The sequence below is a fragment of the Homo sapiens genome, chromosome 3, assembly GCF_000001405.40.
Source record: "Homo sapiens chromosome 3, GRCh38.p14 Primary Assembly".
NCBI lineage: Eukaryota > Metazoa > Chordata > Mammalia > Primates > Hominidae > Homo > Homo sapiens.
In genome coordinates this window covers 196,403,930-196,428,334 of record NC_000003.12, presented here as the reverse complement: position 1 = coordinate 196,428,334, position 24,405 = coordinate 196,403,930, and the positions used below count along the sequence as shown (strand labels likewise).

Sequence of the window (24,405 nt, the reverse complement as noted above, 5' to 3'; positions counted from 1 at the left end):
CTACAGGCATGTGCCACCATGCCCAGCTAAAATACACGGTTCTGAAATTTTCACTTAACATTATGCTACAAACCTTTTTTGCATGGTCAGACTGATAAGCAGGTAGCCAAGAGAAGTGATGACCTTTGAAGTAACCACACTGAGAAGCTGTATACAGTATGGTTTACCATTGATGCTTGCTTTTTGTTTGTTTTTGTTTTTGTTTTTGTTTTCGACAGAATTTCACTCCGTCACCCAGGCTGGAGTGCAGTGGCATGATTTCGGCTCACTGCTGTCTCCGCCTCCTGGGTTCAAGCAGTTCTCCTGCTTCAGCCTCCGCAGTAGCTGGGATTACAGGCTCAAGCCACCATGCCCGTCTGATTTTTGTATTTTTAGTAGAGATGGAGTTTCACCATGTTGGGCAAGCTGGTCTCAAACTGACCTCAAGTGATCTGCCCTCCTCAGCCTCCCAAAGTGCTGGTATTATGGGCGTGAGCCACTGCAACCGGCCCCACTGATGCTTTCTGTGTCATTTAAAGCTACATAAGAAAACCAGTCTTGTTACTTTTATAGTCATTCCACATTTTACAATACTACTGTTTGATCTCCTCTGATATTTATCATACATGGCTTTGAATTACTGTTGAAAACTCAGAAGTCATATCAATTCTCAAAACATGAAGGAAAAATATGCAGCTGGATCTATTCTGAAAGAGCAATTTTTAAAAATGTTTTGAAGCCAGGTGCGGTGGCTCACGCCTGTAATCCCAGGCACTTTGGGAGGCCAAGGCGGGTGGATCACCGGAGGTCAGGAGCTTCAGACCAGTCTGGCCAACCTGGTGAAACCCTGTCTCTCCGAAAAATACAAAAATTAGCTGAGCATGGTGGTGCACGCCTGTAGTCCCAGCTACCCAGGAGGCTGAGGCAGGAGAATCTCGTGAACCCAGGAGACGGAGGTTGCAGTGAGCCGAGATCCAGCCACTGCACTCCAGCCTGGGCGACAGAGCGAGACTCTGTCTCCAATTTTAGTATATGTGCTGCTGAAGCGAGCACAGAGCGAGACCCTGTCTCAAAAAAAGAAAAAGTAAATAAAAGTAAAAATGTTTTGAGCCATGGCAGTATTCCATTAGCACCAACTTTGGGCTGACATCCACTACACATATACACTGGTGCACATGTGTAATCAGAATAATTCATGGAGTGAAGGTGAGGGATACATAGACACTATAGAACAGGTGAAAAATAAGCTAGCAGTCTAAGGACAAATGTGAGGGCATAGAAAGTGGAGGCTAAGAAGAGTACAAGAGGTTACTGGTACGGAAATTCATAGAGCTTTGTGCATAGCGGCAATAACATACTTGAGAAAATTATAGAACCTCAGTTGTAGAAGAGACCTTAATCTTTCAGATGGTTGATGAGTGCATATTTATTATAAAAATTAGGGGCTGTCATGTTTGTGGTATTTAACTTTATGGCCAATTTCCATTCATGTTCTTTTTTTTTTTTTTGAGACAGAGTCTCACTCTGTGGCCCAGGCTGGAGTGCAAAGGTACGATCTTGGCTCACTGCAGCCTCCACCTCCCGGGTTCAAGCGATTCTCCTGTCTCAGCCTCCTGAGTAGCTGGGATTACAGGCATGCGCCACCACGCCCGGCTCATTTTGTATTTTTAGTAGAGACGGGGTTTCTCCATTTTGGTCAGGCTGGTCTCGAACTCCCGACCTCAGGTGATCCTCCTGCTTCGACCTCCCAAAGTGCTGGGATTACCGGTGTGAACCACCGCGCCTGGCCTCATTCATATGCTTTTGTACAGAACATTTCCTTTCTCTTGGGTTAATATTAAACTATGATTAAGTTCTCTGTGTCTGGAAAGGTGGTCACAGTATTATAGATGTTAAGAGAAAACTTCAGGAATTTTAAGAATAGTTTCAATAGGGAATACATTTCAGAATTTCTTTTTTTTTTTTTTTTTGAGACGAAGTCTTATCCTGTCACCCAGGCTGGAGTGCAGTGCTGTGATCTTGGCTCATTGCAACCTCCGCCTCCCCGGTTCAAGTGATTCTCCTGCCTCAGCCTCCTGAGCAGCTGGGACCACAGATGCGCGTCACGACACCCAGCTAAATTTTTTGTATTTTTAATGGAGATGGGGTTTCATCTTGTTGGCGAGGCTGGTCTCAAACTCTTGACCTCAGGTGATCCACCCACCTCAGCCTCCCAAAGCGCTGGGATTACAGGCTTGAGCCACCATGCCTGGCTGAAGTTTCAGAAATTTAAGGGAGGTAATTTTGAGTTGCGAATGGAATCTTACTAGTAGATTCATTTATTGGTAGACTGCTACGTGCCAGGCATGGTTCACATCTTAAGGATACAACTGTGAGCAAGGCGTGGTGTCTGTCCTCAGAAAGCTTAAAGGTTAACAGGAATAGAGACACACGAATAGGTATTAGAATACAGTGAGAGAATGGTAAGGAGCTAATACTGGAGCACAAAAGAGGGAGGTCAAGAAAACCTTCCCAGAATAAATACTTTTTTATCTAAAATCTGGAAGATGTTTCTTGCAGGAGAAACATGCAGAGACTTGGAGGGGAATTGGGCAGACATGTATACAGACAGAGATGAGAGAGGGGAGACAATCGGTTTAGGGAATTGATAATTCCAAATGAGTAAAGCACAGCTAGTGCAATAAATGGACCTCAAGAGATAAATGGGAGATTGGGTTGGGCCTTATAAGCCATGTTAAAAAAAATCTTGTCTTTATTCTGAGAATAGTGGGGAGTCAAGGGTTTTAATTAGAGGAGTGAGACTGGGCACTGTGGCTCACACCTATAATTCCCGCACTTTGGGAGGCTGAGGTGGGAGGCCTGGAGCTTGAGATCAGCCTAGGCAACATAGTGAGACCCCATCTCTACAAAATGTATTAAAATTTTATTTATTAAAAAAGGAGTTACATCTGATTTGACCTTTTTTTTTTTTTTAAAGAAAGAGTTACTTGGCTATAATGGAGAAGAGATAGGCACAGAGATCAGTAGAAGGCTGTTATATTAACCCAAGAAAGATAGTGGTGTCCTGAAAAAAGTTAGTGGCGGAGAAGTGGACTCCAAAAGGTATGGGAAGAAATCAGAGTCAAAATGAAGTTTAGGATTCTGTTTTGGACACCTAGGTATGTAACAGTGCTATTTATGAAGGTATGGAATAGCAGAAAGGTGTGGGGAGAAGATGGTTAGCTCAGTTTTGGATAAGTTAAGGTGCTGCTAATAGGACTTCCAGATGGAGCTGTTGAAGCAGATGAATATTTGGGTCTAGAAAGAAGAGTGAGAAATCTGTCATATTCATGGCAGTTAAAGTTATAAAAATGGGGCTAGGTGCGGTGGTTCACACCTGGAATCCCAGCACTTTGGGAGGCCGAGGCGAGTGGATCACCTGAGGTCAGGAGTTTGAGACCAGCCTGACCAACATGGTGAAACCCCGTCTCTACTAAAAATACAAAACTAGCCGGGCATGGTGGTGTGTGCCTGTAATCCCAGCTACTCAGGAGGCTGAGGCAGGAGAATTGCTTGAACCTGGAAGGCGGAGGTTGCAGTGAGCTGAGATCACGCCATTGCACTCCAGCCTGGGCGACAGCGAGACTCTGTCTCAAAAAAAAAAAAAAAAAAAGGTTATAAAAATGGATGAGGCGAGGCCTAGTGGCTCACACCGGTAATCCCAGCACTTTGGAATGCCAAGGTGGAAGGATTGCTTGAGGCCAGAAATTCAAGACCAGCTTGGGCAACATAGCAAAGAGCCTGTTTCTACAAAAAGTAAAAAAAAATTAACTGGGCCTGGTGGTGTGCACCTGTAATCCTGGTTGACTTGGGAAGATTGCTTGAACCCAGAACTTTGAGGCTGCAGTGAACTATGCTCCTGCTGCTATACTCCAGCCTGGGTGACAGAGAGAGACCTTGTCTCTTAAAAAAAAAAAAAAAAAAAAAAAAAAATTAGGAAAAGAGAAAGGATGGCATCTTGCAGGAGGGAGTGTAGTGTGGGAAATAGTAGACTCCAGGACACAATGCTGAAGGAACACCAACATCCGGGGGACTGCAAAGAAGAAAGTGCAGAGAAGACTCAGGAAAAACCAAAGATGTAGGAGGAAAACCAGGAGAGTATCATGGCACTTAAAGCATCAGGAGTGGCCACGTGTGGTGGCTCATGCCTGTAATCCCAGCACTTTGGGAGGTTGAGGCAGGTGGATCACATGAGATCAGGAGTTTGAGACCAGCCTGGCCAATATGGTGAAACCCTGTCTCCACTAAAAATACAAAAAATGAGCCGGGCATGGTGGTGGGCACCTGTAATCCCAGCTACTCGGGAGGCTGAGGCAGGTGAATCGCTGGAACCCGGGAGTCAGAGGTTGCAGAGAGCCAAGATCTTGCCACTGCACTCCAGCCTGGGCAAGAGAGTGTGACTCTGTCTCAAAAAAAAAAAAAAAAAAAGTGAAAAATTATTTTGTAAATGGAATAATTAGTCTCTAATTAGTCCTTTGTTTAGCTAACACAATTAGCTTCAAGATGGCTCTCTTCTGTCCCTGTGGTGCTTCAGAATCTTAGAGTTGATAAAATTCACATCCATGCAGGACTTTAAGTGCCCCAAGGTACTTTGGGTTTATCCACTCACCTTGTCAAGTGGATAAGTCAGATGGGGGTTGGAGGCCAGGCAGATAAGCAACTTGTCTCCAAGACTGGGATTGTCCTGCTATGCCCCACCTTATGCTCCCTGAGGCTCTGAGCTGAGTTTCAGGCCTCTGCCATGTCCCCACTCTTCCATGACCCAGCTCCACAGTTTCCCAAGGATACAGTGAAGCCAGCTGGCACCTAATGGTCAGGCAGGAGGGGAACAAGTACCCCAAGCCCCATCACAGCCAAGAAAAGAGGCACAGTGGCCAGGCCACAATCTGGAGCGGATGAGGGGGCCAGCTCCACAGAGGGTCCATTGGCCCACACAGGCACTGTCCACATGCTCCTCTCAGGGACCGGCTTGTTGGAGGGCTTGTTGCCAATGTTCTTATACGTGGTAGATACTCAGTAAATGTTTGCTGGCGTGGAAACACTTACATGTTGCGGTGACCTGCCAGTTTAGCCCACATGCCTGGCCTTCCGCCCTCCCCAGGGCAGCTGTGCCTCAGCCGCTTGTGGTAGAGATGATCCCCAGACCAGGTGGTGACTGGCCCCGCTAGGTTGGGCTGTTGTGTCCTCTGGTTATGGCTTGATCAGGCTGGCATGCAGCCAGGCGAGGACTTGGCGGGCTGGGCTGCCCATAGCCTAGTCTGTTTTTAGTCTCCTGTTTTCCAGAATGTCATGTAAGTGTAATCACAATATGTAACCTTTTGAGTCTGGCTTCTTGCTCTTAAACTATTGTGTTTGAGATTCATTCATGTTGTCATGGTTAGTAGTTCCTTCCTATTTATTGGGGAATAGTATACCATTGTATGGTTGTACTGTGGTTTGTTTATGCATTTATCAAATGAAGGACACTTTCCAGTTTGGGGACATTATAAATAAAGCTGCCAAAAACAGTCGTGTACAAGTGTGTGAATATCTTTTGATAAATACCTAGGAGTGTGTTTATTGGATCATATAATAATAGTTATATTAACTTTCTAAGAAGCTGACAAATAATTTGTGACTTTCTGGTATAGTGACTTTCCAAAGTCACTTTGGAAAGTATAGTGGCTTTGAGAGGCTGATGCGGGAGGATTGCTCTAGGCCAGGAATTTGACGCCAACCTGGACAACAAAGAGAGACCCCCACATCTGTATTAAAAAATAGTAATAAAAGAGAGTTCCAGTTGTTCTGCATTCTTTCCATCATTTGGTATTTTTAATTGTCTTTTTTTTTTTTCTTTTGAGACAAGATCTCATTCTCTTGCCCCTGGTGGAGTGCAGCCGTGTTATCATAGCTCACTGCAGCCTCAAGCTCCTGGGGTCAATAATCCTCCTGCCTCAGCCTCCTGAGTAGCTGGGACTACAGGCACACACCACCATGCCCAGCTAATTTTTAATTTTCTGTATAGATGAGGTCTCCCTGTGCTGCCTAGGTTGGTCTCAAACTCCTGCCTTGGTCTCCCACAGTGCTGGGGTTACAGGTGTGAGCCTCCACGCCTGGGCTTTTTTGTTTTTTGTTTTTGAGATGGAGTCTCACCCTGTCACCCAGGCTGGAGTGCAGTGGTGTGATCTTGATTTATTGCAGCCTCTGTCTCCTGGGTTCAAGCGATTCTCCTGCCTCACCCTCCCAAGTAGCTGGGACTACAGGCGTGCACCACCTTGCCTGGATAATTTTTGTATTTTTACTAGAGACTAGGGTTTCACCACATTGGCCAGTCTGGTCTTGAACTCCTGGCCTCAAGTGATCTGCCCGCCTCAACCTCCCAAAGTGTTGGGATTACAGGCGTGAGCTACCGTGCCTGGCCATTGTTTTTTTTAAAGCCATTTCAATAAGTGTGTAATGGTATGTCATTGTGGTCTTAATTTGCATTTCTCAGGTGACTAATGATTTGGGGCATTTTTCATGTAATAACTTACCATCTATAAATCTTTTTTTTTTTTGGTTTGAGATGGAGTCTCGCTTTGTTGCCAGGGTGGAGTGCAGTGGTGCGATCTTGGCTCACTGCAACCTCCACCTCCCAGTTTCAAGCTGTTCTCCTGCCTCAGCCTCCCAAGTAGCTGGGACTACAGGCGCCTGCCACCACACCCAGCTAATTTTTTGTATTTTTACTAGAGACTGGGGGGGGGTTTCACCATGTTGGCCAGGATGGTCTCAATCTCCTGACCTTGTAATCCACCTGCCTCAGCCTCCCAAAGTGCTGGGATTATGGGCATGAGCCACCACACCCGGCCACTATCCATAAATCTTTCAAGCCCCAACTTTTAATTATGAGATTCAACAGACATAAAATTACTCTCTCAAATTGCTGTAAACGTTTCTGAATGCTTCCACTGGAATTTGTATTTTTATCTTGTCACAGACTAGTAAGAGATAGCTGGTCTAAGGACTACCATTTGGGTAGTACTGGCCTAGGTGATGGCAGAACAGGGCCTGGAACTCTGGCATCTTGGCTCCTGGGCGCATGCATTTCCCACCATTAGCACTACTTCCTGCACCATTGGTTCCTTTTGTGAACTAATGAATGTTTGCCTTATCTGTCCCCTAACTTAGTAATTCGATTTCTCTGTACTCAGTTTTTTCTGGTATGCATTTAAAAATGTTTTCGATATTTGAAAGCTTAAAAACTCCAGGATTAGAGACTGAGGTTAAAATTTCAGCTTATTTCTCACAACTGTCATCCACTCCCATATCCTTGGCAAATAGTTTAGCTTACTTTGGTATCATTGCTGGGGAAAATGTGGAACCGAAAAGTAACCTCTTGTCCCTATCATTTCTATAGAGGGATGATGATGATTGTTTTTAAAAGTCTCTGTGACTGCTATACTTTGGTTTCTGGATGGTAGTGAAGAGATGATCACTGTCCGTCTTTTGGCACTGAGAGTAGTGTAGACAATGTGCATTAGAGTATAAACTAGGAGATAGCAGCATGAAAATGGCCATCATAAGTTGTGTGCCACAGCTGGGTTAAGGAAGGCCGTTTGGTGCCATTCAGTAGCAAGTGTAAAACAGATGGAGAGAAGGACAGATAAAGGATGTTTTAGAAGGGGGTTCATGTGGTGAGAAACAAAGTAGGACTCCTGTCATGGAGTATAGATGACTGGATTAGATTAAGCCACCCTGCTGCTGCCTACAATATCGGAGCCTCAAAATAAGTCCGTTTTTTAATTTAATTTAATTTTTTTTTTTTTTTGAGATGGAGTCTCGCTCTGTCACCCAGGCTGGAGTGCAATGGCGCAATCTTGGCTCACTGCAACCTCCACCTCCCGGGGTCAAACGATTCTTCTGCCTCAGACTCCTCAGTAGCTGGGGTTACAGGCACGCATCACCATGCCTGGCTAATTTTGTTTGTACTTACAGTAGAGACGGGGTTTCGCGGTGTTAGCTGGTCTCAAACTTCTGACTTCAGGTGATCCACCCACCTTGGCCTCCCAAAGTGCTGGGATTACAGATATGAGACACTGCACCCAGTCCCAAAAAGCCCATTTTTAACAAGTTTGCAAATAGTTTAAATCGTAAACTTGTCAAACTTGTTTTATTAGCCCCCCCTTAAAAAAAAAGGTATGTTCTTCTAACTGTAGTAAGATAGAAGTCCAAATTCTTTACAGCTGATCCATCAGAAATTGTTAAGTCCCTCTTGGGTGCATAGGTAAAATGTGGGTAAAATGTGTAACTTCACTAAACTTGTTTATCACTGTTCCCTCACTTACATCATTTAGCCCTCCTTACTTTTCCTCTTCCCTTTCAGTTAACCTTCACTTCTTCATATTCCTCTGTGTAGCTCAGTGGTAGTGTTATTGGCAATTACAGTAGGACTGTTCTATCCATTCCAGAAGTTTAATACTTTTAGTTGCCTTTGACTGCTGACAAATTACCGCAAATTGAGTGGTTTAACACAGATTTATTCTGTGATGGTTCTGGAGGCCGGAAGTCTGAAATGAAGGTTCGAGTAGTCTTTTGGAGGACGTTTTTCAGTCCACCACATCACCCCTGGCCTCTCTCCATGAAATGCCAGTAGTATCCCCGACTCCCCAGGCATGAAACACCAAAAATGGTCTCTCATGTTACTGAATGCCTCTAGTGCTTCGACACTAAGAACCACTGGAACCTTTAATTATCTTTCAGTTAGCTCCTGTTTCTGAAATGATTCACTAAGTGATACGCTAAGAACAACTGATGATACGGGAACAGATGGCTTAGCTTGGCTTTGTTTAAGAAAGTGGATGGTATACTTTGCTTCATGGGCTTCTTTCTAGCACTGGCTTTGTTCAGACTTAACCAAGATTTAGCATGTGCTTCCTTTTAAAAAATCTGCATGTGTAGTGGTACTTTCTTTGGAACGCTCTTGCAGTTCACTATCCTGACAGACTCCAAAGATGGAAGTCATCCTGTCACATTGTTTATTTATTTATTTATTTATTTATTTATTTAATTTATTTAGAGACAGGGTCTTGCTCTGTTGCCCAGGCAACAGAGTGCAGTGCAGTGGCGTGATCTTGGCTCACTGCAACCTACGCCTTCTGGGTTCAAGTGATTCTTCCACCTCGGCCTCCCTAGTAGCTGGGACGTCCCTAGTAGGTGGACGCCCGCCACCAGGCCCAGCTAATTTTGGTTATTTTTAGTAGAGATGGGGTTTCACCATGTGGGCCAGGCTGGTCTCCAACTCCTGGCCTCAAGTGATCCACCCACATCGGCCTCCCAAAGTGCTGGGATTACAGGCGTGAGCCACCGCGCTCGACCTCAGATTGTTACCAGTGGTATGGTAGCACCATCTCAGGAATATGCTCCCTAAAGGTTAGGTTCTCGCATTAAATGATTGTGTGAAGATTGTAGATAGGATGGCAAAGTAGTCTTTCCCTATCCTCTAACTCTGGACCCTGAGTGTTGACATCATGTGCCCCAAAATATTACAGTTGTTACTTCCGTTACTATGGTTTTATTTGTTGTGTCGTAATGTCATTCTCTGTAGAATCCTTTCTGTTTTAATGTTTAGCTCTATAGACCTGTGAATCTTTAGAAATTCTAGAATACATACATACTGTACTTGTATTTAGTTTTCTACTGCCTCCCTATCACCTCTCAGTGCTTCTCAGTCACACTGGAGTGCTGTTATAGATGTCTTTGAAGCAGATCCCTTTCGTGTATCATGTTGTTCTCTATGCATACCATTCACTTTTTTCTAGTGTAATAGGTTTTTGCTGTCTTCATTGTACTGCTTTTAAAAAAATGAGTGTTCAACTTGAATGAGACACATGTTCATAGCATCAGATGAGTGAGAAAAAGAAAACTGAGATGTCTTTCTCTGCCTGTTTACTGTCAAAAATGTATTTCTCCATAAGCTATATATATTCACACTTTATACTTCCATGTCATTTACGTATAGAGTACTGTAAACTTGGGACTATCTGTCCGTCATTCCGTCATTCCTTCCTTCTCTCTTTCCCTCCTTCCCTCCCTCCCTCCTTCCTTCTTTTCTTCCTTTCTTTCTTTCAATGGAGTCTTGCTGTCGCCCAGGCTGGAGTGCAGTGGCGTGATCTCGGCCCACAGCAACCTCTGCCTCCTGGGTTCCAGCGATTCTCCCACCCCAGCCTCCCGAGTAGCTGGGATTACAGGCTCCCACCATCACGCCCAGCTAATTTTGTATTTTTAGTAGAGACAGGGTTTCACATGTTGGTCAGGCTGGTCTTGAATTCCTGACTTCAAGTGAACCACTGTGCCTGGCCAGTCTTTATTAATAGCTAACTGCTAATTAAGAGGTATCCCAAGTTCTTTAATGTGAATTTTCTTTTCTTTTTTTTTTTTAGAGACAGGATTTTGCTCTGTCACCCAGGTTGGAGTGGTATGATCATAGCTCACAGCAGCCTCAAAACTCCTGGACTTAAGCAATCCTTCCACCTCAGCCTCCTGAGTAGCTGGGACTACAGGCATGTGCCACCACGCCTGGCTAATCTTTTTTGTAGAGATGGTTTTTTTTTTTTTTTTTTTTTTTTTTTTTTTTTAACCATTTTGCCCAGACTGGTCTCAAACTTGTGAGCTCAAGCAGTCCGTCTGCCTCGGCCTTCCAAAGTGTTGGGATTACAGTGTGAGCCACCACGCCCAGCTGAATTCTTTTAATTCATGGTAGCACTTCATGAAGTTGATAAATCCCCATTTTATAACTGAGGAAACTGATGCCTAGAGAAATTAGTATCTTACTCAGAGTCACACTAGTGAATGACAGAAGTAGAAGGTCGAACCCAGGTTTAGCTGAGTAGTTCCCAGGCTCTTATTAAATCATATCTTCTGTGCTCCTTAGCATGAGTACAGAAGGGAATTTGAAGAATATTTTCTCTTTGTTACTGGGCATAAGACAGGGCGGAGGCAAAGGTTTTTATACATTTATTTATTTATTTGATTTATTTATTTAGTTTTCGAGATGGAGTCTCGCTCTGTCTCCCAGGCTGGAGTGCAGTCGCGCGATCTCGGCTCACTGCAAGCTCCGCTGCCGGGTTCACGCCATTCTCCTGCCTCAGCCTCCCCAGCAGCTGGGACTACAAGCGCCCGCCACCACGCCCGGCTAATTTTTTGTATTTTTAGTAGAGACGGGGTTTCACCGTGTTAGCCAGGATGGTCTCGATCTCCTGACCTTGTGATCCGCCCGCCTCGGCCCCCCAAAGTTCTGGGATTACAGGCGTGAGCCGCCGCGCCTGTGTGTACATTTATTTTAACTTCTTGCTGTGTCTGTGGCTCCAGGTGTTCAGTGTCTTTTCCTGCCCTAAGTTGCCCTCACGTGGTACTGCAGGCCTTTCTTACCTCTCCCCAAAAAGGCACTTGTGACACTAAAGCTACTTACATCCCTCTTCTTCTAAATCAACACCCTTTTCCTCTGTATATCGACTCTAAATGTATTGTTACTAGCTTTTAAGAGAAGGCAATATGATTGAATTAATTTATGTTATGAAATGATTGATACATCCTTAACTCTAGTAAGTCTTCATATTTTTAAATAGAATGTTTGTTTACCCAAATTAATCTCTGAATTGGAAGTATTTTAGGTAGCATAATAACGTGGAAAAAAACTGCACTTAGGAAAAGACTTGGGCTAGGCAGACTAAAATGTTGACAGGCCTGCTTGCTTGAGGATTGACTTCACAAGTTCTGATTCTCATCAGAACCCACAAATTCTCTAAATGGTTCCCCTGGCAGTGGCATTGGAGTTCTGGTAGATGAAGGGTGGTAGAAAGGGTGGCAACAATATTTGTATGCAGTGGCATTTTTAAGTTGAATTTCCTTTTTCCTTTTTTTTTTATTTTTGAGACAGAGTCTTGCTCAATCGCCCAGGCAGGAGTGCAGTGGCGCAATTTCAGCTCACTGCAACCTCTGCCTCCTGGGTTCAAGTAATTCTCCCGCCTCAGCCTCCCGAGTAGCTGGGATTACACGCACCCACCATCGTGCCCGGGTAATTTTTGTAGAGATGGAGTTCCACCATGTTGGCCAGGCTGGTCTTGAACTCCTGGCCTCAGGTGATCCGCCCCCCGCTCAGCCTCCCACAGTGCTGGGATTACAGGCGTGAGCCACCGCACCCGGTGTAAGTTGAATTTCCTATGACCAGATAAGTTTGTGAATGAAAGTAGCCAGCATTGGTTGCTGTTATGGCAGAAGTGAGTTTCACTTCACCATCAACATGTTCTTTCTGCTTTTTTGTGGTGCTGTAATGCGGTGTGAGCACTTAGACAAGAGCCAAAATAGTGTGAACTTGGCCACTTAATTCTCTGAAAAGAAAGTTTGGTCCATACATTGAGAAGCTAGTTTTAGGGTTCATTGGGACGCAGATGTTAACAGATTGTGCATCTCTGCTAGAACAAGCAGCCGAAAGTAGTCTTCCTGTAAGAAACCTTTAATTTTTAGCTGCTGTCTAAATTAAAATGGTAGAGCACAGTAGTCACTGAACTTTTTTTTTTTTTGAGATGAAGTCTCGCTCTGTCACCAGGCTGGAGTGCAGTGGCACAATCTTGGCTCACTGCAACCTTTGACTCCCTGGTTCAAGCGATTTTCCTACCTCAGCCTCCCGAGTAGTTGGGATTACAGGCACGCGCCACCATGCCCAGCTAATTTTTTTATTTTTTATTTTTTAGTAGAGACGGGATTTCACCATGTTGGCCAGGATGGTCTTGAGCTCCTGACCTCGTGACCACCTGTCTCGGCCTCCGAAAGTGCTGGGATTACAGGTGTGAGCCACCGCACCCAGCCTGCTGAACTTGTATAGTCCAGCATTCAAGAAGTATGATAATATGGCTGGGTGCGGTGGCTCACGCCTGTAATCCCAGCACTTTGGGAGGCTGAGGCAGGCGGATCACAAGGTCAGGAGATCGAGACCATCCTAGCCAACATGGTGAAATCCCGTCTCTACTAAAAATACAAAAATTAGCTGGGAGTGGTGGCGTGCGCCTATTGTCCCAGCTCCTCGGGAGGCTGAGGCGGGAGAATCACTTGAACCCAGGAGGTGGAGGTTGCAGGGAGCCAAGATTCGCACCACTGCTTTTCAGCCTGGCAACAGAACGAGACTCTGTCTCAAAAAAAAAAAAAAAAAAGAAGTATGATAATACAACACAATGTAACTGGAGGCAATGTACAAATATTAGGGAAACACTGAAACAAAGCCTCAGGTTTTATGAGTAAGAATATGGTAGCATATGTGTCTTGAAATTGTTTATCAAATTTGTGCTGTTTTTGCCCCAAGAATTTGTATTTAGTTACATAAGGTTGGCTGTGGGGATATTAGAACTTTTCCTTTCCTTCAAAAAGTTGCATTTGTGTTTTTGTTTTGATATTTCATTTTTTAAAGTGTTTTCTGTTGGTTAGAATGTTAAATTTGTATATACTACAACTTAACTTTTGGTTCAGCTCCACTGAGAACTTAGGAAGAATGTAACTGGGATGAGAAAAGTGAGATCTGCGCTAGTTGAGTGAGCTTTTAAAGTCTGAGAGACAGAGCAGCTAGCAGAGACAAGGGTAAAGATTATGACTCAATGGAAAAGTATATATTTGTTCCTGCTTCAGAGTGAGGAGGCAGAGGAAATGTTCAGAACGTAACAGAAAGGTGGGTGTTTGGTTTGTTGTCCCAACCACTATCCAAATCATGCAAAGATAGGGTTTTATAAAGTCCTACCAAGGGAACTGCCTAGATGATGCCGGTAGGTCCATGTGGCTGAAGGGAATGGTACAGAGGTGAGATGAGAGTAGAGGGATATAACATGGGAGGGGTAAGGAACAAATCTTGTATGCAGCTTGAGATGGATTAAAACTTTTTCAATCAGCAATACAGAACTGTTGAAATAGGAAGACAGACAATTGAACTTACATTATTTTGCTGTGTCGAAGGTACATCTGGCCCTCCATATTCATGGGTTCCGTATTGGTGAATTTAGCCTGCGTATTGAAAATATTCAGGGAAAAGGCCGGGTGCAGTGGCGTATGCCTGTAAATAATCTCAGCACTTTGGGAGGCCAAGGCAGGCGGATCACCTGAGGTCAGGAGTTCAAGACCAGCCTGGCCAACATGGTGAAACCCTGTCTCTACTAAACATACAAAAATTAGCCAGGTATGGTGGTGGCAACAGAACAGCTACCTGGGAGGCTGAGGCAGGAGAATCACTTGAACCTGGGAGGCAGAGGTTGCAGTGAGCGGAGATCGTACCACTGCACTCCAGCAAAAAAGAAACAAAATATTCAGGGAAAAAGAAAACATTGTTCCATCTCTACTGAACACGTAGAGACTTTTCTGTTTGTCATTATTCTCTATAGTATAACAACTGTTTACGTTGTATTAGGTACAATGTAATAGCATTTACATTGTATTAGGTGCTATAAGTAATCTAGAGATGATTTAAAGTATAGATTGTTTGCAAATACTGTACCATTTTATATGAAGAACTTGAGCATTCTCAAATTTTGGTATCCTTGGACAGTCATGGAACCAGTGCCCCATGGATACTGGAGGGATGACTATATCAAAGGGGGCCATGAGGTGTGAGATACAGTAATTCATGTAAGAGATGTTGAGGGCTTGAACTAAGACTGTAGCAGTGGACATAGAAAAGGTTGGTTAGGAGTGGTATTAACTAGAAGGAACTATAGCTCTCTTTGGTTAACTGATGGGATGTTCACTCGGGGGAGAAAGAAGGGTCTAAGAATGTTTCTCAAATTTGAGTAATGTATGAAGCTCTTTTAAAGGAAAAACCTCCCTGGTTCTGTGTAACTTAAATTACCATATATACCTAGATAAAAGGCAGACCCCAAATGAAAGGCGATTTTCTCTAAATTTCCCAAAAAGGGTGTTTGTTTTTTCAATTTTTTAAATTGTATTAACACGTATATAACAAAATTTATCATTTTAACCTTTTTTTTGAGACAGAGTTTCGCTCTTGTTGCCCAGGCTGAAGTGCAATGGAGCAACCTCGGCTCACTGCAACCTCTGCCTCCTGGGTTCAAGCGGTTCTCCTCCCTCAGCCTGCCCAGTAGCTGGGATTACGGGTGCCCACCACCACACCTGGCTAATTTTTGTATTTTTAGTGGAGACGGGGTTTCACCATGTTGGCCAGGCTGGTCTCTAACTGACCTCAAGTGATCCGCCCACGTCGGCCTCCCAAAGTGCTGAATTACAGCCATGAGCCACCGTGCTTGGCCCATTTTAACCATTTTTCAGGGTACAGTTCAGTGGTATTAAATACATTAATAATGTGTAACCATTACCACCGTCCCTCTCTATAACTCTTTGTTTTGTAAAACTGAAACTCTATACCCATTAAACAAGAACTCCCTGTTCCTCATTCTACCTTCCTCCAGCCCCTGGCAACCATCATTCTACTTTCTGACTCGATTTTTAGTGCTCTAAATGTCTCACATAAGTAGAATCATATGGCGTTTGTAATTTTGTGACTGGCTTATTTCACTTAGCATAATGTCCTCAAGGTTCATTCATGTCCGAATTTCCTTCTTTTTCAAGGCTCCATGAGATTCCATTGTATGAATATACTACTTTTGTTTATCCATTCATGTGTTGATGTATACTTGGGTGGCTTCCATGTTTTACCTACTGTGAATAATGCTATTATGAAAGTGGGCATATAAATATATTTTTGAGACCCTGCTTTCAGTTCTCTGGGTATATCTCCAGAAGTGAAATTACTGGATCATATTCTGTTGTTAGCTTTTTGAGGAATCTCCATAGTTTTCCACCCTCGTTGTACCATTTTATATTCCCATCAAGAGTGCATGGTGGTTCCAGTTTCTCCACATGCTCACCCACACTTGTTATTTTTTGTTTTTTAATAGTAGCCTTTTTAATGGGTATAAGCTGGTACTAAAAAAAACAGTTGACCGTCAACTATTTGCGTTTCTAGAGATTTAAGTGAAATGATCAGGTGCTTTCTTTGGTAATATTTATTGATTTAACATTATTACACACGTTGTATATTCATGCTTTTTTCTTTTTTCTTTTTTTTTTTTTTTTTTTGAGACAAAGTCTCGCTCTGTCACCCAAACTGGAGTGCAGTGGTGTGATCTCAGCTCACTGTAACCTCCGCCTCCTGGATTCAAGCAATTTTCCTGCCTCAGCCTCCCTAATAGCTGGGAGCTATTAGGCACCTGCCACCACGCCTGGCTGATTTTGTATTTTTAGTAGAAGACGGGGTTTCACCCTGTTGGCCAGGCTGGTCTCGAACTCCTGAGCTCAAATGATCCACCTACCTCAGCCTCCCAAAGTGCCAGGTTTACAGGCATGAGCCACCGCACCTGGCCGGCCGCCTTTTTTCAGTCATATTTTATGAAATGAGTTTATTTGGTTGTTTTCATTTGCACCTTAAATATATATCTTTATCAGCTATCAGAAAAGGCTATAGCTACTCCATGTCATCTGCTAGTTTGTTTGTTTTTTGAGACGAAGTCTCACTCTTGTGCCCCAGGCTGGAGTGCAATGGCACGATCTTGGCTCACTGCAACCTCCGCCTCCCAGGTTAAGCGATTCTCCTGTCTCAGCCTCCCGAGTAGCTGGGATTACAGGCGCCTGCCACCACGTCCGGCTAATTTTCATATTTTTAATAGAGAAGGGGTTTCACCATATTGGTCAGGTGGACTCGAACTCCTGACCTCAGGTGATCTGCCTGCCTTGGTCTCTCAAAGTGCTGGGATTACAGATGTGAGCCACTGTGCTCGGCCATCTGCTAGTTTTTTGAAGCCTGTTATTTTCACTTCTCTTTAAATTTATCTTAAATCCATGAATCCAGCGTATCCATTTGCTATTTATTTCCACAGCATAACTGTACTGCTTTATAAATTAATTTTAAAACATAAGTATATGCACAAAGTGCAAAATTAAATTGTTATAAAAGGGTTGCCAGTGGTTTTGACTAAGGCCTACTCCCTCTCTCTAGTATGTAGCTAATGAGTTAAAGTACTATGAGATATCACTAAGTTTATCAGACATTGATCACATGCAAGCAAAGTGTGATGCCAGGTGCTGGGAGATACCAAGGCAAGAAAACCAGTTCCTCTGTTCAAGAACCTTCTATTCTTTTGGGGGAGCCAGAAAAGGAACCAGCATTTACTAGTAGTATATCCATGGATATAATAGAACATTATCACAGGGATGGGAACGGGCAGGTAGGCTAGTGCACAGATCAACAGAGTAACATTTCGGTTGATTTCAGCATGCATGAACTAGATGAGGGGACGATGGGGAGGATAAGGGCATTCTAAGCATGTAATTTAGTTTGACTATAGTAAACTGTGTAGGATGAGGAAGAAGAAAGGCAAAGCCAGAGAAATAAGCTGAGGCCTGATCACAAAGGGCTTTCCAGATCATAAAGACTTGAATTTATACTGCAGGCAGCAGAAGAAAGCCATTAAGGGATTTTTTTTTTTTTTGAGATGGAGTCTTGCTCCGTTGCCCAGGCTGGAGTGCAGTGGTGTAATCTCAGCTCACTGCAACCTCCGCCTCCCAGGTTCAAGAGATTCTCCTGCCTCAGCCTCCTGAGTAGCTGGGATTACAGGTGTGTGCTCACATGCTTGGCTAATTTTTGTATTTTTAGTAGAGATGGGGTTTCACCATCTTGGCCAGGCTGGTCTTGAACTCCTAACCTCGTGATCTGCCCACCTTGGCCTCCCAAAGTGCTGGGATTATAGGCGTGAGCCTCCGTGCCTGGCTGCCATGAAGTGATTTTAAACAGAGGGATGATATAATGAGACTTGTATTTTGGGAGATACCCTCTGCAGCAAGGTAGAAAATGGAATAATGATCAGTTAGTAGCCTATTGAAGTAATTGAGGTAAGTATTAAGGATTTGCCTTAGAGACAGTAGTACAGAAGAGAAAACAAATGAGAGACATTAAGAGTAGAGTTAGCACTTCCATTTCTTGCAGTAAGGGTAATGTAGAGTGATAACATGAGTAACCCTGCTGCTGAGAAAAAAAGTGCTGAAGAATGTATGTATTTAAAAAACATTTTTTAGGCCAAGTGTGGTGGCTCACTCCTGTAATCCCTGCACTTTGGGAGGCCAAGGCGGGTGGATCACCTGAGGTCAGGAGGTCAGGACCAGCCTGGCCAACATGGTGAAACCCTGTCTTTACTAAAAATAGAAAAATTAGCCCGGTGTGGTGGCAGGCGCCTGTAATCCCAGCCACTTGGGAGGCTGAGACAGGAGAATCGCTTGAACCCTGAAGTGGAGGTTGTAGTGAGCCAAGATCGCACCATTACACTCCAGCCTGGGTGATGAGAGTGAAACTCCGTCTCAAAAAAAAAAAAAAAAAGTTTCTTTTAAAATACATTATTGGTTAGCACCAGGCTAAAAATGAAGAATGCAGAAATTAGCTACCTTTAAAGCAGGTCTGGTGGAATCTGTCCACACTGGATGGCTTTGAACTTCCCTTTTGGTAGACTCATGGGTCACAGGAAAGAAAGCTTGGGGCCTTAGCAAGGAAAGGGGCCTGAAAGAAGGCTCCTCCCCTTCATAAAGCAGAGAGTAGGACGCTTCTACCTTGGCAGTGGGGAGGGGATGTATGGAGATGAACATCTTCACAGAGAATTTATAACAAAGATTGTTACAGTCACATTTCTCATGTGGTCTTGAAAAACCTCCAAGTCAGAAGTGTATTTAAAGTGGTCTCAGTTTGGTAGTGCCTGTGGGTGCCTTGCAAAGTCTGTCAAATCATATCCTCTTAGGAGGAAATGTACCTTCAACCCAGGCTTCAGAATTCTGTAGATTAAAATTTCAAGGCACATGACATCACAGTAAAAAAATCACAAATCACACAAAAACTGTGACACAGTGAGCAAGATCCAGCAGAAACAAGAAACAGTGACCTATAGAAACTGTAGAAAATTTATTTTTTTCCTTAGTGATTAGTGATTCCAATAAGTTGGGTTAATATGTTTGAAGAAATGAAAGATTGGAATAGTAGGAATTAAGGATCTCCAAAACATGATCAAGCAGATGAGGACGTAAACAAAAACAGAACTTCTAGTTATAAAAAATTAGCTGAAATCAAAAGCTCAGTGAGCAAGTGAAGAAACAGATTGGCACAGCTAAAGGGAGAATGTGTGAACTGGAAGATAGCATTGAAGAGATTACCCACAATGCACCATAGACAGCTCAAAGAGACAATATGCATATGAAAGAAAGGTTGAGACATAAGGGTTAGAGTGAAGAGTTGTAACATACATCTAATTGGAGTTACAGAGGAAATAAGTATGAATGGAGGGGGCGAGACAACGATCAAATATAAATCACTGGGAATTTTTCAGAATTGATAAAAGATAATCTTCAAGTGGTAGAAGTCCATTGAATTCCAAAGAGGATAAATAAAATCACCCTGACAAATCAGAGTGAAATTGCAGAAGGCTAAAGACAGAGGGTCTTAAAAGCAACTAGAAACAACAGATTGCTATAAAAACATTTTTCTTTAGTCTGGCAACTGATTTCCCAGCAGCAACAACAGAAGCCAGAGGACATTGGAATGCTGTCTTCAATATTCTGAGAGAAAATAGCTGTCAGCTTTGAAATGGAATACCCAGTAAAACTGTCAGGAATGACAGCGAAATAAAGACATTTGCAGACAAAAACTTAAGAGCATTTACCACCAAGAGAAGGAGATTCTAAGGGACATAATTCAGATAGAAGAAAAATCATCCCAAATGGAAAGCTTGAGGTGCTTTTTAGTGGCCAGAAAATGTTCAATTTACATTCTATCACTAGACATTTATGTTATTTCCAACTTTTCAATATAAACTGAAGCTATGCTGGACATGTGTATGAACATGTTTATGCATATAGTATTTTATGTAGATTTTATTTTCTTTTGACTAGAAGCCCAAATTACTGAGTCAAAAAAGGAATGAGTATTTTTGTTTCTGGAATACATGTTGTAAAATTGTTGTCTTAAAGGACCTTACCAATTTACATTTCATTTAGCAGACTCTGTTAGCTTTACTTTATTTACAAATGAGTACATTTGTAATAGGGACATTTTTAAATGATGAAGATTGACATTTCTTACCAGATTTTGACTTAGTTATGTCTTAGACAAAAAATGTTCCATCTCACTTCTTTGCCATTGGTATTAAAGATGCTTTTTTTTTTTTTTTTTTTTTTTTGAGACAGAGTCTCGCTCTGTTGCCCAGGCTGGAGTGCAGTGGCGTGACTTCGGCTCATTGCAACCTCTGCCTCCTGGGTTCAAGCAATTCTCCTACCTCAGCCTCCCAAGTAGCTGGGATTACAGGTGTGTACCACCATGCCTGGCAAATTTTTGTGTTTTTAGTAGAGACGGCATTTCACCACGTTGGTTAGGCTGGTCTCCAACTCCTGACCTCGTGATCTGCCCGCCTCAGCCTCCCAAGGTGTTGGGATTACAGGTGTGAGCCACTGCGCCCAGCCTGATGCTTTCTTTTTAACAGAAACAGAAATGCTAACTGAAATGTATTCTTTCTAACAAAGCATTTCTAACTTTCTAGAATGTAGTCTTTCATTTTTCTTTATCTTTTTTCAGCTTATTCCCAAATATATACTTTGGCCATTTAAATAAATGGCCAAAGAAATGGCCAAAAAATGCTTTATTTAGTTTTTGTTTTATTATGAAGGATGATTACTCTTTAATGCTGCTAAATTCTTTTCTAGCTCTGTATTTCACTTCAAGAATGTCTACATTTTTTTCTAGCTCTGTGTATTTCACAAGAAAGTCATTCATTCTAAAAGGGAAAAATACTATTAATTTACTTGGGAATTCTAATATGAGCTGAAGAAAGAGGCTGTCTTTTTTTTTTTTTTTTTTAACGTTTTTCCTGTCTTTTTACTGTTTCAGGTGCAAGTGAAAGTGTAGGAAAACATATGCTTGAAGCGTGCAACAATAATCTGGAAATGGCAGTCACTATGTTTTTGGATGGTGGAGGAATCGCTGAAGAGCCCAGTACCAGTTCAGCAAGTGTCTCTACTGTCAGACCACACACAGAGTATGAATTTATTATGTGTTGTCAGGAGCTATCCATTGCCTAAATTAAGTAGTTGCATTTTTATCAAAGCTAGGTCGATTCTCTGGTTTTGAAATAAATGAAAGGCTGAAAGCCTCTGAAAAAGTATGAAGTGGAAATTTTTGTAGTTACATACTTTAAATTCTTTAGAGTACTGTCTTGCTTATTTAATCCTCAAAGGAACCGTGTAGGCTCTGTGAAGTCGGGGAGATGGGGTTGGTTGGAGTGTGTGGTGGTGCTCTGCTAGGATTGGCCCGTGGCCAGCAGGGCCTGTGTGCCTCACGGCAGCAGCAAATAAACAAACACCTTATTGGATGGCATTATCAACATTTTACCAATAAGGAAGCAGAGGCATAGCCATTTCCCCAAGCTACACAGCAATTAAGTAGCAGTAGAGCCCAGTAAAGTTCAGATTTCCCAATTTTAGGTTTTTCTACATTGTCACAGAAATGTTTTGAGTTGCTATGAAAAATGCTTGAAGCTAGGCTGGGCGCGGTGGCTCATGCCTGTAATCCCGGCACTTTGGGAGGCCGAGGTGGGCTGATCACGAGGTCAGGAGGTCGAGACCAGCTTGACCAACATGGTGAAACCGTGTCTCTACTAAAAAAAAAAATACAAAAATTAGCCAGGCGTGGTGGCATGCGCCTGTAATCCCAGCTACTCGGGAGGCTGAGGCACAAGAATTGCTTGAGCCCAGGAGGCAGAGGTTGCAGTGACCAGAGATCGTGCCACTACACTCCAGCCTGGGTGACAGAGCAAGACTCTGTCTCAAAAAAATAATAAAAATAATATTGTGTAGAGTTTTTTCTGTTAATGTTGGCCATGTATTTCGCTCCCAATATAGCTCAAACTCTTAACAGAAATCAGTATGAAAACCTTAATATTTAAAAAAAAAGTCCAGGCATGGTGGCTCATGCCTGTAATTCTAGTACTTTGGGAGGCCAAGGCAGGAGGATGGCTTGAGCCCAAGAGTTTGAGACCAGCTTGGGCAATATAGCAAAACCCTGTCTCTACAAAAAATACAAAAATTAGCCGGGTGTGGTGGTACGCGACTGTAGTCCCAGCTACTTGGCAGGCTGAGATGGGAGGATCACATGAGCCTGGGAGGTTGAGGTTGCAGTGAGCCATGATTGTGCCACTGCACTCCAACCTGGATGACACAGAGTGAGGCCTCCTGTCTCAAAAAAAAAACAAAAAACAAAAAAAACACAAAAAACCACCTAATACAGAAACTTGAATAGCAAATATTCATAGTTGTTTTGGGAGAGCATATTTATCCTCATTGTATAAAACATGTTTTCTCAATTGTGTTGAAAAATAGTTTTGATAAATGAATATCTTTTCCTAATGAATTGCCCTATATATAACTTGGCTTAGATAGTTTGTATTGCTAATTGATTAACATTTGATAATGGCTCCTAATTCCTAAAGTGTGATTTTCTTTATTCACTTTTTTCTGTTCCATCCTTCCATTCTTGGTAGCTGACAGTCTTGGTACAGATACCCTCAGATAATGTAGTAATCAAGTCTTTTCGTGTAAGGACAAGTGTACTACTTAATCCACCCCTCTAATTGATGCATTTCATCAGATTAAAGTTTGTTTATAGAACAACTGAGTTGTCTGAGATTGAGACAATTATATATATATACACACACACACACACACTGTAAAGCGAGGTATAACAATAATGGAAAGTTTTGTTTAGGTAAAAGTTTTCTTTCTTTCTTTCTTTTTTTTTCTTTTCTTTTTTTTTTTTTGAGACGGAGTCTCTCTGTGTCGCCAGGCTGGAGTGCAGAGGTGTGATCTTGGCTTGCTGCAGCCTCTGCCTCCTGGGTTCAAGTGGATTCTCCTGCCTCAGCCTCCTAAGTAGCTGGGACTGCTGGTACACTCCACCACGCCCGGCTAATTTTCTTATTTTTAGTAGACATGGGGTTGCACCACGTTGACCAGGATGGTCCCGATTTCCTGACCTCGTGATCCACCTACCTCGGCCTCCCAAAGTGCTGGGATTACAGGCGTGAGCCACTGTGTGCACCAGTTTTCTTAAGATAATTAACTCTTTTTTTAAAAACACAGTCTTGCTCTGTAACTCAGACTGGAATGTAGGGGTGTGATCTCTGCTTACTGCTCTCAACTCACTGCAACCTCCTCCTCTCGGGTTCAAGCAACCTCGGCGCCTCAAGTAGCTGGGACTATAGGCGCATGCCACCACACTTGACTAATTTTTGTATTTTTTGTAAAGATGGGGTTTTGCCTTGTTGCCCAGGCTGGTCTTGAACTCCTGAGCTCAAGCGATCCACCTGCCTTGGCCTCTCAAAATGCTAGGATTGCAGGTGTGAGCCACCATGCCTGGCTGGCCTATTTCCTTTTGATGAAAGGATTGACAGAGCTTACTCTTATAGATGTGTCGTCTGTTTCTTCAGATTATCGAAATTTTGTGTGTGAGCAGTAGGAAAGGGTACTTAACATAATTTTGAATTATCCTTTTGTCACTTGGTTTATTGGAAATTTCTTTAACTGGTTGTTCTTTGATTACAGGATGTAATTATTGACAAATGAGTATTCCTACTTCATTTCATAAAGGATGTTTTGGAGTTCCAACACTTAAATGTCAAAAACAAGATCTTTAGTTAATACTGTTCAGAACACCTGAATGAAAACCATTGGCCGGGCGCGGTGGCTCACGCCTGTAATCCCAGCACTTTGGGAGGCCGAGGTGGGCGGATCACGAGGTCAGGAGATTGAGACCATCCTGGCTAACGCAGTGAAACCCCGTCTCCACTAAAAATACAAAAAATTAGCCGGGCGTGGTGGCGTGCGCCTGTAGTCCCAGCTCCTTGGGAGGCTGAGTCAGGAGAATGGCGTGAACCTGGGAGGCGGAGCTTGCAGTGAGCCGAGATCATACCACTGCACTCCAGCCTGGGCCACAGAGTGAGACTCCGTCTCAAAAAAAAAAAAAAAAAAACCATTAGGGCTAACATAAATTTATATGGAATTTGCATGCTTATATAATAATACTTATAAGCAGGAAGATAATGAATTAGGAAGTTACTATTTGCTGTGAACATTAATCAGCAAAGTTCAATAGTTGAGTTACAACTGTAAAACAAAGTAATTTTTTTTTTTCTTTTTCTTTTTTTTTTTAGAGATGGAGTCTTACTATGTTGCCAAGGTTGGTCTCCAGCTCCTGGGCTCAAGTGAGCCTCCTGCCTCCTCTCCCAAAGTACTGGGATTACAGGCATGAGCCACCATGCCCAACCTAAAATAAACTAATCTTTAAAGGCACACACCATTTTT

General features: G+C 42.9%; 1 protein-coding gene and 1 pseudogene across 2 annotated transcripts in view; one reads left to right on the top strand and one right to left on the bottom strand.

Annotated features, from left to right (window-relative positions):
• Positions 1-24,405, top strand: part of UBXN7 (UBX domain protein 7) — an 84,766-nt gene that overhangs the window by 4,093 nt on the left and 56,268 nt on the right. The window contains exon 2 of one of the 2 annotated variants that reach the window (NM_015562.2): positions 20,942-21,089. The exons of the other annotated variant lie outside the window; for it this stretch is intronic. Coding sequence (NP_056377.1) covers positions 20,942-21,089 — 148 coding nt within the window. The remainder of the gene's footprint in view (positions 1-20,941; positions 21,090-24,405) is intronic. 2 annotated transcript variants of the gene reach the window in all.
• ZDHHC1P1 (ZDHHC1 pseudogene 1) lies at positions 4,813-5,013 on the bottom strand (annotated as a pseudogene).